This window comes from Homo sapiens, chromosome 7, assembly GCF_000001405.40.
Source record: "Homo sapiens chromosome 7, GRCh38.p14 Primary Assembly".
In the NCBI taxonomy this organism is placed as follows: Eukaryota; Metazoa; Chordata; class Mammalia; order Primates; family Hominidae; genus Homo; species Homo sapiens.
In genome coordinates this window covers 123,202,722-123,221,614 of record NC_000007.14, presented here as the reverse complement: position 1 = coordinate 123,221,614, position 18,893 = coordinate 123,202,722, and positions in this window count along the sequence as shown.

Below are 18,893 nucleotides of genomic sequence, written 5' to 3'. Positions count from 1 at the left end.
AGAACAAATAAGAACTAGTTTTTTAGGCCAAGCACAGTGGCTCATTCCTATACCAGCACTTTGGGAGGCTCAGGCAGACAGATCACTCAAGGCCAGGAGTTCAAGACCAGCTTGGCCAACCTGGCAAAACCTTGTCTTTACAAAAAATGCAAAAATTAGCTGAGAGTGGTGGTGCATGCCTATAATCCCAGCTACTTGGGAGGCTGAGGCGGGAGAATCACTAGAACCCAGGAGGCAGAGGTTGCAGTGAGCCGAGATCGTACCACTGCAGTCCAGCCTGGGCAACAGAGTAAGACCCTGTCTCAAAATAATAATAATAATTATTATTATTATTATCTAGTCTTTGATTGCACCACAGAGTGACTATAGTCAACACTAATTTATTGTACATTTAAGAATAATGTGTAAAGCAGATCACCTTTCCCAATGTGGTTGGGCACCAACTAAGCCACTGAGGACCCGAAGAGAACAAAAAGGTGGAAGAGGGAAGAATTTTCTCTCTGCCTGACTGTGTGAGCTAGGACATTGGTGTCTTAGTTCAAGCTGCTATAACAAAATACTATAGACTGAATTGCTTAAATAACAGAAATTTATCACATTTCTGGAGGCTAGAAAGTATAAGATTAAGGTGCCAGGAGATCCAGTGTCTGGTGAGGGCTACCTTCCTGGTTTTTAGATGGCTGTCTTCTCATTGTATCCTCGTGTGGTAGAAAGGAAAGAACACACACTCTAGCATCTTTTAATAAGGGCACCAATCCTATTTATGAGATCTCTACCTCATGACCTTATATTACCTCCCAAAGGCCTTACTTCTTAATACCATTACATTGGAGGTGAGGAGCTTAACAAATGAATATTAGGGGGACACAAATATTCAGTCCATAGGCATCAGTCTCCTCTTGTCCTTAGACTGGAATTTTACCAGCAGAACTACTGGTTCTAAGGCCTTCAAACTTGGACTAGAATTTATATCAATTCTCCTGGTACTCTGGCCTTCAAACTCAGACTGGAATTACATCACTTGCTTTCCTTGGTCTCCAGCCAGCTTGCAGATCATGGGATTTCCCATCCTCCATAATCGTGTGAGCCAATTAATTCCTTACAATAAATCTAAATCTTTCTCTCTCTCTCCTCTCCTCCCCCATATCTTATTGTTTCTCTGAAGACCCTTTTTCTAATACAACCCCCTTTAAGTCTTTTTGAAATCCTTAAATACTTATTTGTTTAAATTACTTTTATATTTAACTTTCCAAAGCTCCAATCTTAGCATAACTTATACAGTCCAAAGGTGGCAAGGGTTAGCTAGGATGTGGAGAAAGGGCAATACTGCTGGTAGAAATGTAAATTGGTACAATCAATATGGAAAACAGTATGGAGTTTCTTCAAAAAATTAAAAATAGAACTACTGTATGATTCAGCAAACCCACTTCTGGGTATATATCCAAGGGAAATGAAATCAGTATCTTGAAGAGTTATCTGTACTCTTATCTTTATTTTAGCATTATTCACCAGAACCAAGATATAGAAATAACCAAAATGTCTGTTGATAGATAAATGGATAAAGAAATTGTGGTGCATATATATAATAGAATATCATTCATCCTTGAAATGTAGGAAATCCTGCCATTTTGACAACATACATAAACCTGGAGGACATTATGCTAAGTGAAATAAGCCAGGCACACAAAGACAAATACTGCATCTTCTCACTTATATATGGAATCTAAAAGTCAAATTCACTGAAGCATAGAGTAGAATGGTAGTGCTACGGGCTGAAGAGAAAAATGAGTAGATGTTTTGATCAAGGGGCACAAGATTTATTATGCAGGACGAATAAGTTCTGTACATCTAATATACAACAATGTGACTATAGTTAACAATACTGTATTGTATACTTGATAGTTGCTAAAAGGCTAGATTTTAAGAGTTCTTACTACAAAAAAGCAAAGCAAAGCAAAGAAAAATGATAACTGCGAGGTGATGAATATGTTAATTAACTTGTGATGATTATTTCACAATGTATATTTATATCAAAACATCAAGTTGAGTACCTTAAATATATACAGCTTTTATTTATTAATTGTACCTCAATAAATCTGGAAGAAAAACTATACCCTGTTCTCATGATATTTTTTTTGGAGAATAAATTTGTATTTTTCAAAATATGTTATTTATGATAACATGTAATGAAGTTACTACTTTTGGTTTTAAACAAATTGCTAAACATTTAAATTTTGTTTCAATTTTATATTCCAATACAGTGATTACTAGAAAACAATTTTCATGTAAGAGTGTAATGATTCTTAGAAGTAAATGTTTGTGAACTGCTGATAAGGCGTTTGATACTTTGCAAATAATTCCACATTTATTATGTAATTTTGAGTAGTTTTATCTTTTATTAAATCAAGACATGAATCACATACTGTAATATTCACCTCTTTAATCTGTACAATTCAATTGTTTTTAGTATACTCACAAAGTTTTACAATCATCACCACTATCAAATTCCAGAACTTTTCATAACCCAAAAATAAACCTTGTTACTCATCAGCAGTTACTCCCCCTATCCCTCTTTCCCGAGCCCCTGGAAACTGCTCATCCACTTTCTGTCTCTGTGGATTGACCTATACTAAACGTTTCATATTAATGGAATCATACAATATGTGGCCTTTGTGTCTGGCTTGTCTTGGCACAAGGTTTTTAAGGTTTATCCATGTTGTAGCATGTATCAGAATTTCATTCCCTTTTATGGCTGAATATTTTATTGCACAAAAAGACCACATTTGTTTATCCATTCATTAATTGAGGGACATTTGGATTGTTTCCAGTTTTTGATGCTATTATGAAAAATGCTGCTATGAACATTCATATACAAGTTGTTGTGTATACAGATATGTTTTATTTCCCTTGGGTATATACCTAAGAGCAAAATCGCTAGGTTATAGTATAACTTTATGTTTAACTTTTTGACAAACTGCCAAACTGTTTTCCAAAGAGGCTGCATAATTTTTTGTTCACAAGCAATGTATGAGAATTCAATTTCTCCATGTATTAGTCCTTTTTCATGCTGCTGATAAAGACATATCTGAGACTGGGCAATTTACAAAAGGAAGAGGTTTATTGGACTCACAGTTCCATGTGGCTGGGGAGGCTGCCTTCATGGCAGAAGGCAGGAGAAGCAAGTCACATCTTACATAGATGGCAGCAGGCAAAGAGAAAGAGCTTACGCAGGGGAACTTCCATTTTTAAAGCCATCAGATCTCGTGAGACTTATTCACTATCACAAGAACAGCATGGGAAAGACCCACCCCCATGATTCAATTACCTCCTACCAGATTCCTCCTATGACACAGGGGAATTCTAGGAGTTACAATTCAAGATGAGATTTGGGCGGGAACACAGCCAAACCATATCACTCTACATCCTTGCAAACACTTGTTATTGTCTGTTTTTTTCATTTCAGGCATTTCAGTGGGCATGAAGAAGTATCTCACTGTGGTTTTGATTTGTATCTCCCTTATGGCTAATGAGCTTGAGAATCTTTTCTGGACTTATTGGCCATTTGTGTATCTCTATAGAAATGTCTGCTAAGATCTTTTGCCTATTAAAAATTGTTTTTTATATTACTCAGTTGTAATTGTTTTTATATGTATTACAAATACTAGACCCTTATCAGATATAAGATTTGTAAATATTTTCTCTCATTTTTCAGGCTCATGTTTCGCTTTCTTGATTGTGTCTTTGAAGCTCAAAAGCTTTTAATTTTAATGAGGTCTAATTTGTCTAGTTTTTCTTTGGTTACTTATGTTTTGGGGTCATATCTAAAAAAAGAATGCCAAATTTAAGGTCACAAAGATTTAAATCTATGTTTCTTCTATGAGTTTTATAGTTTTGTCTCTTACCTTTAGGCCTTTGTTCCATTGTGAGTTAATTTTTGTATATAGTGTGAGGCAGGGGTTCCATTTCACTTTTTGCCCGTGAATTATCCAGTTGTCCCAGTGCAATTTGTTGAAAAGACTATTCTTTCCCCCATTGAATTGTCTTGGCCCCCTTAACAGAGTAGTTTTACTTCTGCCTCAATTTTTCTTACTTCCAAGTTAGTCTTGACTAATTATGTCTTTTGCCCAAGTTCAAAGAACACATTCTCAAACAAAGAAGTAGCTCCCAGGTAATTAGAGAAAATATTTGTCAACGAAGTCAATTATGGGAAATGTTTTAACTCAATGTCTATTAAAACATCTTCTGGGATAATCAGTCACAGCAAGCTACTGGCTTTGTAAGAATATGAATAATTCTGTGTAAAAATTAACTTAAAGTTTCCCTTATCTTATGTAGAGTGGATTTTCTAAGGTCCTATTAGTGGGTTGTGCTAAAAACTGTCTGATGCAGCAAATTTTTTGACTACTGCTTGGATTGGCCTCAGGTAGTTTCTTTTATTTTTTTTTAACAGTGTTTTTTTTTTTTTTTTGGAGAAGTGTAGCCACAAAGATTAGAAATGCATTGCTGCAAAGAAATACCTGAAGCTGGGTAACTAATAAAGAAAAGAGGTTTATTTGGCTCATTGTCCTGCATTCTGTACAAAAAGCATGGTGTCAGCATTTACTTCTGATAGGGGCCTCAAGAAGGTTCTAATCATGGCAGAAGGCAAAGGGGAGCCAGCTTGTCACATGGTAAGAGAGGGAGCAAGATAGAGAGGAAGGAGGTGCCAGGCTCTTTCAAACAACCAGATCTCATGCGAACTCATGGAATGATAAGTCACTCATTACCATGAGACCAGTGCCAAGCCATTCATGAGGTATCTGCCCCCATAATCCAAACACCTCCTACTAGGTCCACTTCCAACAATGGGGGTCACAGTTCAACCTGAGATATAAAGGTGACAAAACATCCAAACTATATAACTAGTTAACAGCTAAAGAGCATCTCCCAATATGAAAGTTTACCTGTTAGCTATTATAAGAATACATTTGCTGAGCTAATGAAACTAGGCAGCAAGGAGCAAGGTTAAGATGAAAAGAGGCTTTCAGACTTTCATGAGGCTTTCAGGCTTTCAGACCAAGGGACCATAACATCACAACAAGAGATAAAAATTAAGCAATAGTTTTTTATTTTATTATATATATATTTTTAAGGAACTTGTGGGATAGGAGAATAGCAGATAATTGCCATGAATGTTTTAGGTATGGAGAGAATATTGATATTAGATTAAATTAAACTTATAATAAAATAAAATAACTCTCAAATATGTGCCATCATTTGGGGGAAGAGATGTAAAGAAGGATTATATTTTTCTTAAAAGGGGGAAATGAAGTCTGTCAATCCAACTAACATTTCTTAACAATGGTTTGGATGGTAAGGCTTTTGGTAGAACTGCAGTGTGTGAAGGCAAAGTCCCTCTATTCCCTGCCAAATTGTTTTATCAGAGTCACTTTCAAATGGATTGAGGCAGAGTAATGCAGATTATGGAGATAGGGTAAGCACTATGACTGCTTAGCAGCTACACTGTCACATAAAGGAATAGAAAGAAGGGCTGAAAAGTGTTTTTACACACATTCAAGTTTGCTCTATTTACAGCTGTGATGGTATAGTTAGAAGATGAATGTGAGTTGCTCAATAGGTTTCTTCAGAATTGGAGTTTAATAAAAAATATTTGCATATTCTGAAAAAGTTGATTCAGCCTTGGCTTCCAAAGTTGTTTTGAGCTGTATTTTTTTTAATTTGTCTTTATATGTCTTAGAGAAGGTAACTGAGAATCAGATTGGTAACCAGGTGCTTTCTAAATTCCATTTTCTCTAACGTTTTACAATCCTTCTGTATTAGTCCATTTTAATGCTGCTGATAAAAACATACCTGAGATGGGGCAATTTACAAAAAAAAAAAAAAAAAGAGGTTTAATGAACTTACAGTTCCACATGTTAACATTTTGGTTAAAACCATTCAACAAGTCCTAGGGAGCTCCAAACATTCCCACATTTTCCTGTCTTCTTCTGAGCCCTCCAAGCCATTCCAGCCTCTTCCTGTTACCCAGTTCCAAAGTCGCTTCCATATTTTTGGGTATCTTTTCAGCAGTACCCCACTCCTGGTACCAATTTACTGTGTCAGTGCATTTTCACGCTTCTGATAAAGACATACCCAAGACTGGGCAATTTACAAAAGAAAGAGGTTTAACTTACAGTTCCACGTGGCTAGGGAGGCCTCACAATCATGGTGGATGGTGAGAAGCACTTTTTACATGGTGGCACCGAGAGAGAAAACTTGTGCAGGGAAACTCCCCTTTTAAAGCCATCAGATCTTGTGAGACTTATTCACTATCACGAGAATAGCATGGGGAAGACCTGCCCCCATGATTCAATTACCTCCTACCAGGTCCCTCCCACAACATGTGGGAATTCAAGATGAGATTTGGATGGGAACACAGCCAAACCATAGCACCTTCCATCATAGATATATGCAAAGAAAATGTCCTCTCTTCCTGTTCCCTATGTATGTCAGTTGTTAAAGTGAATATCATACTGAGAGTAACAGTCAAGAAAGGAGGACTTCAGAGCAGGTGTCTAGCTGTTGGGAAAGTCACCTGAAAAAGGTTTAAAGTCTGTGTCAAGCATGGTAAAATAGAAGAAACACTGGCTTGGGAATCAGAAAGATGAGATCTCAGACCAGCCCAATAATTTGGGGAGAAACTTTAAACCTACCCCAAATTCTAAAATCTAGGCTTCATAGCTTGGAGAAACCACCCATTCCTATGGTTCAAAGAGTCAATGAAACAATGTCTACAAAAATACCCAATTGTATTCATCAGTTCTGGCACTGCTATAAAGAAACACCTGAGACTGGGTAACTTATTAAAAAAAAAAAAAAGAGGATCATGGTTCTGCAGGCTGTACAGGTAGCATGACTGAGGAGGCCTCAGGAAACTTTCAGTCATGGTGGAAGGTGAAGGGGAAGCAAGTATGGCTTAAATGGCTGGAGCAGGAGGGAGAGAAGAGGGGGATGTGCTACACACTTTTAAACAATCAGATCTTGCAATAACTCACCCATCATCATGAGAATAGCACCAAAGGGGAAATCCACCCCCATGATCCAATCACCTCCCACCAACATTGAGGATTACAATTTGACATGAGATTTGGGCAAGGACATGGACCCAAACCATATCACCAAGAATCTATGAAACACCAGTACCCATGAGATATTATCAAAAATAAGCTTTTCAGATTTGCTAAGAAAATAAGGTCAATATCAATGACCACTTTTATTAATCAGGGTTCTCTAGAGGGAAAGAACTAATGGAATATGTGTATATATATTATATATATAATATGTGTATATATATTATATATATAATATGTGTATATATATATTATATATAATATGTGTATATTATATATATAATATGTGTATATATATTATATATATAATATGTGTATATTATATATAATATGTGTATATATATTATATATATGTGTATATTATATATATAATATGCGTATATATATTATATATATAATATGCGTATATATATTATATATATAATACGCATATATATATTATATATATGCGTATATATATTATATATATAATATGTGCGTATATATCATATATATAATATGTGTGCATATATTATATATATAATATGTGTATATATATTATATATATGCGTATATATATTATATATAATATGTGTACATATTATATATGCGTATATATTATATATAATGCGTATATATATTATATATATAATATGTGCATATACATTATATATATAATATGTGTATATACATTATATATAATATGTGCATATACATTTATATATAATATGTGTGTATATATTATATATATAATATGTGTATACATATCATACACTTGTGTATATCTTATTATATATAATCTGTGTACTATATTATATATGTGTATATATTATATATAATGTGTATATATATTATATATATAATATGTCTATATACATTATATATATAATATGTGTACATCTCTCTATATATAATATGTGTATATACATTATATATATAATATGTGTATATATATTATATATATAATATGTGTATATATATTATATATATAATATGTGTATATATATTATATATATAGTATGTGTATATATATTATATATATAGTATGTGTATATATATTATATATATAGTATGTGTATATATATTATATATATAGTATGTGTATATATATTATATATATAGTATGTGTATATATATTATATATATAGTATGTGTATATATATTATATATAATATGTGTATATATTATATATAATATGTGTATATATATTATATATGTGTATATATATTATATATATGTGTATATATTATATATAATATGTGTATATATATTATATATAACATGTGTATATATTATATATATATGTGTATATATATTATATATATGATATGTGTATATATATTATATATATGTGTATATATATTATATATGTGTATATATATTATATATAATATGTGTATATATATAGATATGTGTGTATATATTATATATGTGTGTATATATTATATATAATATGTGTGTATATATTATATATATAATATGTGTGTATATATTATATATAATATGTGTGTATATATTATATATATAATATGTGTGTATATATTATATATAATAGGTGTGTATATATTATATATAATATGTGTGTATACAATATATATATAATATGTGTGTATATATTATATATAATATGTGTGTATATATTATATATATAATATGTGCGTATATTATATATGTAATATGTGTGTATATATTATATATATGTGTGTATATATTATATATATGTGTGCATATATTATATATATGTGTGTATATATTATATATATAATATGTGTGTATATATTATATATATAATATGTGTGTATATATTATATATAATATGTGTGTATATATTATATATAATATGTGTGTATATATTATATATATGTGTGTATATATTATATATGTGTGTATATATTATATATGTGTATATATTATATATGTGTATATATAATATGTGTATATATAATATATATAATATGTGTATATATAATATATATAATATGTGTATATATTATATATAATATGTGTATATATAATATATATGTGTATATATATTATATACATATATTATATATGGGAGTTTATTAAGTATTAACTCACACAATCACAAGATACCACAACAGGCCATGTGCAGGCTGAGGAGCAGCAACAGCCAGTCTGAGTTCCAGAACTGAAGAACTTGGAGTCTGATATTCGAGGGCAGGAAACATCAAGCATAGGAGAAAGATGTAGGCTGGGAGGCTAGGCCAGTCTCTCTTTTCACATTTTTCTGCCTGCTTTTTATTCTAGCTGTGCTGGCAGCTGATTAGATTGTGCTCACCCAGATTAAGGGTGAGTCTGCCTTTCCCAGCCCAGTGACTCAAATGTTAATCTCTTTTGGTGACACCCTCATACATGCACCCAGGATCAATACTTTGTGTCCTTCAATCCAGTCAAGTTGACACTCAGTACTATCCATCACACCACTGTAGTAGTCTGGATATTTGATTGAATGCTTAATTAAATAAAATCAATTACATTCTTGCCTTATCTTATTCCTAAAAATATCTAAGAGCATTCAAAGGGTACACACAATGCAGAATAAAATAAATAAAAATAAGTTGGGAGAATAAAGGTAAAGGGCAAAAAGTGTAGAAAGACAAAGTCAGAAGTGAAATCAGCACTCAGATGCAGGCCACAGGACCCTTCAAATGAACAGAGATGGACAAAATCTCTTAGCTCTCAGTTTCAGGCAGCCAGTTTGAGAAGGGAATTCACCCATGTCGTGATTCACAAGGTACCCAGCAAAACCCCTAGTAGCCGTATAGGGAACCTTATCTCTGTGGATCTTCAGAGAGGGGACTTTGTAACAGAGTGAATAGTCTTCTCAACAACACCCATATAGAAAACCCAGAGCCATACAGCTGTTTTGAAAGTCACCATTCTAAAAACTTTATGTGTATTTTCCCACTCAGATTCAAACAACCTTGTGAACTAGGTCAATTTTTATCTCCATTTGAAGGGAAGAAAATTTGGACACAGCGTATTAGTCCATTTTCACACTGCTATAAAGGTACTACCCGAGATAGGGTAATTTATAAACAAAAGAGGTTTAATTGACTCACAGTTCTGCATAGCTCGGAGGCCTCAGGAAACTTACAATCATGGCAGAAGGGGAAGCAGGCACCTTCTTCACAAAGTGGCGGGAGAGAGAAGAGTGTATAGGGAAGAGCCCCTTATAAAACCAACAGCTCTTGCGAGAACTCACTCACTCTCACGAAAATAGCAAGGGAGAAAACCACTCCCATGATCTAATTACCTCCCACTGAGTTTCTCCCTCAACACGTGGGGATTATGGGGATTACAATTCAAATAAGATCTGGGTGGGGACACAGATACAAACCATACCAGAGAGGTTAGATGACTGGCGCCAGCTACCACATTCAGTAAATGATGAAGGTGGAATTCAAACACAGGCATTCCAGAGCTTATCCTTCAAAGTGAGTCAAATTATTCAGGAAAAACTATTTCATAAGAGTCATGCAAGACCACCCATGGAAGTAGCTCTGTAGTGCTGTGGCTTAATTTGTGAATATAACAGAAATTCTCAAACTTCAACATACACAGGAATCTCTTTCATAGTTAACAAAGCTGCACAGGGGATTTTAATTATGGTAGACCATTTGAAAACCTCAACTAGAGCAGTGATTTTTCTAACATTAGAATGAATTAGAGTCACCTGGAAGGCTTGTTAAATCAGCGATTCCTGCCCTCCTGACCCCTCCTCGAAGTTTCTGATTCAATACACCTCATGGGGCCTGAGATTTACATTTCTGACAGATCCCCAGGTGATATTCATGCTGTTGATGTTGATGAAGGCCGTTGACCACAGCCTTCGGGCAATCATCATTAGTGATGTTCTAAACAGGATTAAGTATTGGTTGATAAACAGTGAATATAAAATTTTAAATTAAATTAAAATTTTATTTTCTGAGAAATATATGGTTCCATCTTTTGTTATTGGGACAAACGCTAAAAAATAGACTCAGTCCTGATGCACACTATGTGGCTTGTAGACATATGTAGGCATTCTGCTTTTATAAGATTGGTGCAAAAGTAATTGCATTTTTGCCATTACTTTTAATGGCAAAGACCGCAATTACTTTTGCACCAACCTAATATAAGCTAAAAATAAAATCCTAAGCCCTTCAGCCAACTGAATGGACACCTCTCTTGGCCAAGGGGACCCCAGAGAAACCTTAAATACTGAGTTTCTGGCCATGCCTGCACAGGAGGTCAGGCACACCTCATTATACCCACTCCCTTTTGCAATTTAGACACAAAAACTGACCAGCATTAACATTAAAATAAAGATCGTAAGACTAGCAGAATAGATTCTTTGTGGCAATAAGATACCAAATCATAAACATGACCTAAGGCCATGCCATGCAAGAGTTAAGTCATGCACCCCTGAACTTAAAGAATAAACTGTGTTCTAACTGCTACATGGTTTTTCTTTTGCTTTATCAGCTAAACAAGCACTGACCTTGAGATAAGCAATATTGAAAGAATTGCAGCTCACTGCCAGATGATGACTAACCGACACCCTGTTCCACAACCCGTAACAACAGCTTTGATCTAACAAGGTACTGATTCCTGCAACTTTCCAGTGATAAGAGACGGCAAACCAAGGACTGGTTCTGGCCAGTTTACACACTTGAGTGTCTTCATGTCTCTACTTCATCTTTTGACCTATAGGGCCTACTTTTAATACATTTAAATGTTAAGTCTCCTAATGGGTCCTATGTAACATGTATGTTTATTCAATACATATGCATTAGGACCACCTTCATGAATATTCACAGCTCCTCCTGTAACCTGTTGAATATGTATACTTGGCCAAGATATTCAACGTAAATCCCTGTTCCACCCTTCCTTCCCTTGAAGTGCCTGCTAATGACTTTGACTGGAGGTTATGCTTCTTAGCCTGTAAGAATGTCCAACTTGCAGGCTGTAACCCTTTATAAGAAATAATGTCTCCTTTCTAAATTTATAAATTGTGTGATTTTTAAGTGAACACTTTCAAGATATTGGATTATACTATCTGACATAAAGTCTTATTCAACTGTTACACAGCATGGAAGTCACTTCCCACTCCAAGCAGTTTATCAATATATTCTTTCCAGCCACAGAGAAGCCTCTCCCTAAAGACATTTTCATTAGTATTTATTTCTACACATTGCAAAATATTTTGAATGATGAATAGGAATTTTATACATGGACAAAGCTTGGAAGAATGTCTCAGGCAGAAGGCAGAGGCTTGGAAGTGTAAGAACACATGTTTTGTTTAGGATTGGTTTGGTTTTTTTGGGTAGGGTCTGTTTTATAGACAAGCATGAAGTGTGATGCAGGCTGGTGTAGAGAAAAGAGGCTGATGATATAGGCTGGCATTAGAGTCTGTAGGGTCTTTTAAATTATGGAGAAAGATTGGACTCTCTCCTTTCCCAAGTGGAGAGCTCTTGATATGTCTGAACAGGAGTGACACGTTCTGTTTCATTTGAGAAGAGCCCTCTGGTGGCATTGTGGAGCATTCAGCATTGTGGAAGTTGTCAGGAATGGATACAGAGACCAGTTAGGAGACCCTCGAAATAGTGAGAGATGGTGAGAGCCTGAACAAAAACAGTGGTCATGGGGATGAAGGAGATGACAGACATTCAAAGGCAAGTAAAATCGAGAGCACTTAAGGATGGAAGGAGGGAGGGGTGTGAGCAAGAGGAAAGAACCAATGTAATGTTCACATCTCTGGTTGATGGGGGCTGGGTACCTTCTTGGTGCTATGACCAGGTGATCATATATTCCAGTTTGCCTAGGACTTTCCTAATTTTAACACTGAAAGTCCGGTGTTCCAGAAAACTCACAGTCCTGGGTAAATTAGCACAGTTTGCCACCCTAGTGATGAAACTGATATCCTGGTCCCTGAGATCACTACCAGGCCCTTCCATGGCCGCTAAACTGCCCTCTACGCCCTTCTCTGCCAAGTTTTCTAAATTAATGCATTTGTACCCTAGACTCAGTTCCTGATCCAAGAACAGATTACCCACTGGTCAGGACAGCTGCTTGACTCTAGTACAATCATCTAGGGTGCAGTACCTCTACATAGCTCCCTCCTTTCAGTGTCTGCACCCTCTCTCTCACATTCTGGCCAGAAATATCCAACAAGACAAGCTTCTCAGAAGTATCTCTAGCCCCTCTGACTTTAAATATCCTTACTTCTGGAGTCTTGTGCTCTGTGTCCTCCTCATTAGTTGGCAACAAATTATGGTGCATATATGAAGCCAGAATTAGCAGAGTTAGAGAAAGAAGAACACTAGCTTTGGAGTCAAACAGATCTGAATCTGGACTTTGAGTGAGTGAACTCAAGCAAGGTACTTAACCTCTTGAAGCTTCATCTATAAACATGAGATCGTTGTTGGAAATCAATAATATGATGGATACAGAATGCTAGCCATTCATCATTTGATTTTTTTCTTTCTTAGGTCTTTATAATTTTAGATGTTGCCTTTTTCCCCTCAGGAAAGAGTCTGAGATTAATTCATTGTCTCAGCCTTAGTCCTTCCAAATCCACACTCCTTCTTTTCTCAGCAGCTTCTACTGAGACCCCTGGATGTCTGTTGCTGCATCTGCCCAGGACATAACATTCCTGTAGGAGAAAGAAGATTGATCGGGAGGAAATATATTAGTAGTTTCCAATACTGCTATGGTCACACTAACTCCATATATGTTTTGCTGAGTGTCTGATTATGGAATCATACATGCATTCACCCATGTTTTGTTCTGATGCCATTTCCTTTCTGGAAAATATAGTTCTAATTTTTGAATAAATTATTGAAGGATAATTCTTCTTTCTTTGGAGAAATCAATGATACAGTAACTATAATTGCTAATTCTTCTTACTCAGACAAATGCATATTTCAAAGTATAAAGGAAGAATTGGTTGGTGAAGCTGAAAGTAACTTATGCCTTAAAAAACTGTTTATGTCCTTTTTAGTATTTATGCTAGTCAAGGTGTAGAAAGCTTCATATAATCAGCTGAATAACCTAAACTTCTGGAAGGTAGACTTTAAATATTTTATTGGAAATGTGGTTTTGTGTTCCAAGACAGGAGATGGGTAAACAGCATCTTGGCAGTCAACACCATAAGTGTTATTACTATTAACTCTGTATCAGTGAGTTAGATGTCAAACTTGGGGCAGATTCTAGAATGGATTACTGAAAGGAGACAATTCTGTAGACCCAAGTGTGAAAAGGTAAATATCTTGGGTCCCCAAAATCACTAAGGAGAACTGAAGCTGGAAATTGCTTAGGGAAAACCTGCCTCCCATTCTATTCCAAGTTATCCCTCTGCTTCCTGAGATAGATGCATATCTGATTACCTCCTTTGGAAACCATAGTCAGAAACTCAAAAGAATGTGATAGTTTGTGTCTCACCTACCTGTGACCTGGAAGCTCTCTCCCTGCTTAGAGTCTTCCTGCCTTTGCTTCAAGTTGTCCAGCCTTTCCAGACTGAACCAATGTCCTTCTTATATATATTGATTGATGTCCCATGTCCCAAGCTGTGTGTTGACCACCTTGGGTACATGTCATCAGGACTTCCTGAGGCTGTGTCATGGGCATGTCCTCAACCTTGGCAAACTAAACTTTCTAAATTAACTGAGACCTGTCTCAGACTTTTTTGGGTTCACACAAGTTAATAGTAGTACCCAAAAGCTTTCTAGTAAAAGAATTTCAACTTGAAAGAACATACTTGAAGAAGGGAACCTGTTGAGTATAATATCAATGATTTTAGATTAAAATGTAGAGGACACTATTACTAAATATGTGCATAGCATACATGTGATAAATAAGTCCTGGCAATTCAAAGCATATGTACAAACCTAACAAGATGAAAACAAGAAAAATATGCCATATTTATCATTATGACAACATAGAAATTACTTAGCTTTAATACATAAAACATATTTTTGAATGTTTATTGAATAATAAGCTCAATATGTTTCTGCGATGTAAAAAAGCTCATGCAATTTTGCCTGCATTGTTAGAAGAATCATGTCCAGAACCAAGGAGGTGTCAGTCTACTCCTGCTTTTTGCTGCCAAACAGAATCTGAAATAGAACATTCAACTCAGGAACTCAGCCAGAGTCAGAGAGATGAGTGCCCAGGATAGTGAAGAGACTTAACATTTGAGACATGAGGAATAGCTGAAGCAAATGGAAATGGGAAGACTTCAGGTATATACAGGCTGTCACATGGAAGAGAAGTTGAAGTTCTCCCTCTCATGGTCCCAAGAAGCAGAATTAGAACAGTAGATGAAGCCACAAGAAGCCAAATTTTGTCCAATGGCAGAGGGAAAGGAAGTCTAACAGAGAGGAAAGCAGGTATTTAAATATGAAATGAGGAGAAATGAGTCATCCATCAGCAGAGGTATTGAGAAAGAATGGGCTCTTTGGCATGGATATTACATGGAGGTCTAGATCAATTTTCCAAACCAAAGTTACTGTGGTTCTCAGAAAGTCACCCCAGGCCAAGACTCTTGCCATGAGAACTTGTAATTATTTTAGGGACTATGAAAATGGAGATTGTTATGCAAAATAACAGAGCATTCACAATTAATTGCCTCCAATTGCATTTGTCTTATGCTCTACTAAGTCACTTGGAGTTCTTTGCTGTGAATAGGCTCTCTTTCCCTTGTAGAGGCACAGTATTTTATTCATATCAATTCATTCACTAGAAAAATCTGTATTTGGGTCCATTTTAGTAACCTCATTTCTTTTAAAACCTCCCAGAGATCAAACTACTCACTATCATTCGTTTATCTGGGACAAAAGTATAAATCAAGCTGTGTCCTCCTGGCCTATCTGCCAATTAATGTGGTTTAATTGTACAATGATATAAGTTGAGAAGAAAATATTGTTCTGAAAAATGTATCTTTTAGAATCAATGATAAGGAAAATGGATAAAAATGTAAGTATAAATGACTTAGAGTAAATGTTGGTGTGTTTCTTCATGAGGTTGTAAGGCACACATTTTCTTTAAATACTGAATTTTCTTCATAAGCAACCAGTTTGAACCAAAAGCCACCAACCTCATATAATAAAAGAAGCCAACTGGTGAAGAACAGTGAATGCTGTAGCTATGCCAAAGAAAATTATTGTGAGAGGGCAGCCTGGCTAACATCTTATATTCATGTTAATAACATATTGTCAGCTAGTCTATGCTTAGGTAAAAAAAAATTCCAAAGATGGGTCAGCCTGACAGGAAACTGGATTGTGTCAATGTCATTTACTACACTTAAAATAAGTTCACCATTAGAATTATGTTAACGCTTTATCTTTTCATTGTTATCAGGGACATGAGATGCTCCAAAGAGACAATATTTTTGGTGGTAAAAATGGCAGGAGGAATATCAGGGTTTTTTTTTTTTTCTGAAAGAGAAAAATTAACACATTTGGCCATGAGCAACAGTGAATTTGTAGCAGAACTGAGATGACTGAGAAAACGTTTCCCTCATTAATTTCTTTAAACTTGTTTTTTTTCTAGCTGTACTCAAAAGCAGTTGCTGATTAGCTAGTCTGAGTTCCATGGAAGCCTTCTGACTTGACAGGGGGAGTGGACACTTGGATCAGCTGGGATTCTAGGGTATTTCTCCATGATCCATTTCTATGGATTTCCGTTTCTAAGAGTCCTAGAATCACAGCAGTCACTACCCAAGTGCTGACTTAATAAATGCCATATCCAGGGGTCCTGGGTTCACCTCTGAATATGCTAAACATTTTCACAAGGATTACAGTACAGTTGCCTGTGTCAAGACATGACTGTGACACGAGGTGGCTGTGCAGGGGAGGGTGACACAAGCAGGAAGAGGAGTGGAACAAACAGTGTTCTAGATATCTGAGAGTAGTTTTACTCAGCTTCCCTTTTCTAATAGTTTGTTAAGTGTCCTGGAATGTCCTTTCGCTTCCCTTCTCTACATTCCCAGCTCCCTGAATTTTCCTCTTTCACCTCCCAGAGAACCCAAGATTAAAATGAGATAAGGCTCAGCCAAGATAAAATTATTCCTCCCCAACCTGATGGAGGTTGTGGCCAGTGGTGTCTTGGCTTCAGAGCTGACATATTCTGGCAGGTGCTGTTATTGCTAGAGGGAGGTCTTCCTGTTTAGGAATTTGCTTTCCTTCTCAGTTCATGAGCATTCAGGTCTTCACCTTGTAGGACACAGTTCAATCTTCATCTATTCAGTTAGTCATTTACTTCATTACACTGGAAGAATAATTATTGAAACTGTGGTTAATAATAAATGACGTTAATTTAAGTTTTTAGGGACTTGTATATAAATCTACAGTCTCTAGGGTAGATTATTCTACCTTAGCTAATTATTTTATCCTTTATCTTAGGAAATGAAAGTAAAAATTGATATAGTTAATTGACATCAGCCTGGAAATTTTACTATATACACAATCTACATGCTTTTCTTTCATCAAGAAGACTCAACATCTTAAGGAAGGGAGAGGTGAGCAGAAAAAGAAATAAAACTCTAAAAAGTGCTAATGTAAATGACTACAGGATGCTACTGAGGAAAAAAGATCATCTTAGTTTTAACAGTATCTAAAATGTTTGGGGATTCAGCTCACATATGGCACTCAAAGAGTATACCCTTCACAGCGCAGTGCTTGTAAGTCATGCAATTTATGTAGGTAACCAGAGTATACAATTAAGGGTACACTATGAGTGAGTTTTTGAATTAAGGGCTAGTCACAGCTTAAGAACAAATGAATGTTGGGAGAAAATCTGGCTTACATTTTTTGACCAATAATCCCAACAATAGCAATTGAATAAACCTGGCATGCACTTTGAACTCTAAAAACCCTAAGAGTGAAAATAGAAATACATAATTGAAGCAAATGCACTGTCTTTTTGTATACAAATGCACCTGGCTGTTTTTGCCAGCAAAGTAAAAGTGTATACTGAGTATATACACTTTTTCATCTAAGTGTATATATGTATGAGTACATTTGCAATGGGGCAAATATTTTCCATTGAAAAGCCATATCTCATTGCAAACCTATATATTCTATTGACAAACTGCTTGAGTAAACCATACTATATAAACAAGGAAGCTAATTGGTTTCCATTTATCTATACTCATAGGTAAGTTTAGAGAAAGTATTCTTTGAGTATTTACTTGTACCCAACACTTTACTAGGGACATAAGTGATGCAAAGGAAGTAGTCTGTACTTCCTTGTACTCAAAGAATTAACAATCTTACAGAAGATGTAAGATTTACATGCATTATTAAAATAGTAAATAACATTGGTCTACTCACAGGCCACAGTGTGTCTTACAGATATTATCTATGATTTTCAAACTTTACTGTGTATTAAAAATTACGCAGGGTGCCAAGAAAACATGAAGGTTTCAAAGTCACATTTAGATCCAAAAGGGCAGGGAATCTGCATTTTTGTTAAGCATCTGATATTATTTGAATACAGTTGGCTCAAGGACCACCCTGGGTGTGTGCATGGAAAGTCAAGGATTGGGGATTTGTGCAAGGACTGGGATTGTTAGGATGGTTTTGAGATGAATCTACAAGGTCAAACTTCAACTATGGTTAGCATTTAAAACAGAGATGGAAACCATATTCTTGGAAGAAGGAAAGGCTTGAAGAACACAAATTTGGGAGTTAACATTATAAACATAAGCATAAGAAAGAGACAACCAGAAGGTAGGCCTGAGAGAAGCATGTGAGACAACTGGATAAAAACTAGTTTCCACTCCCCTCAGTTGGTTAGACA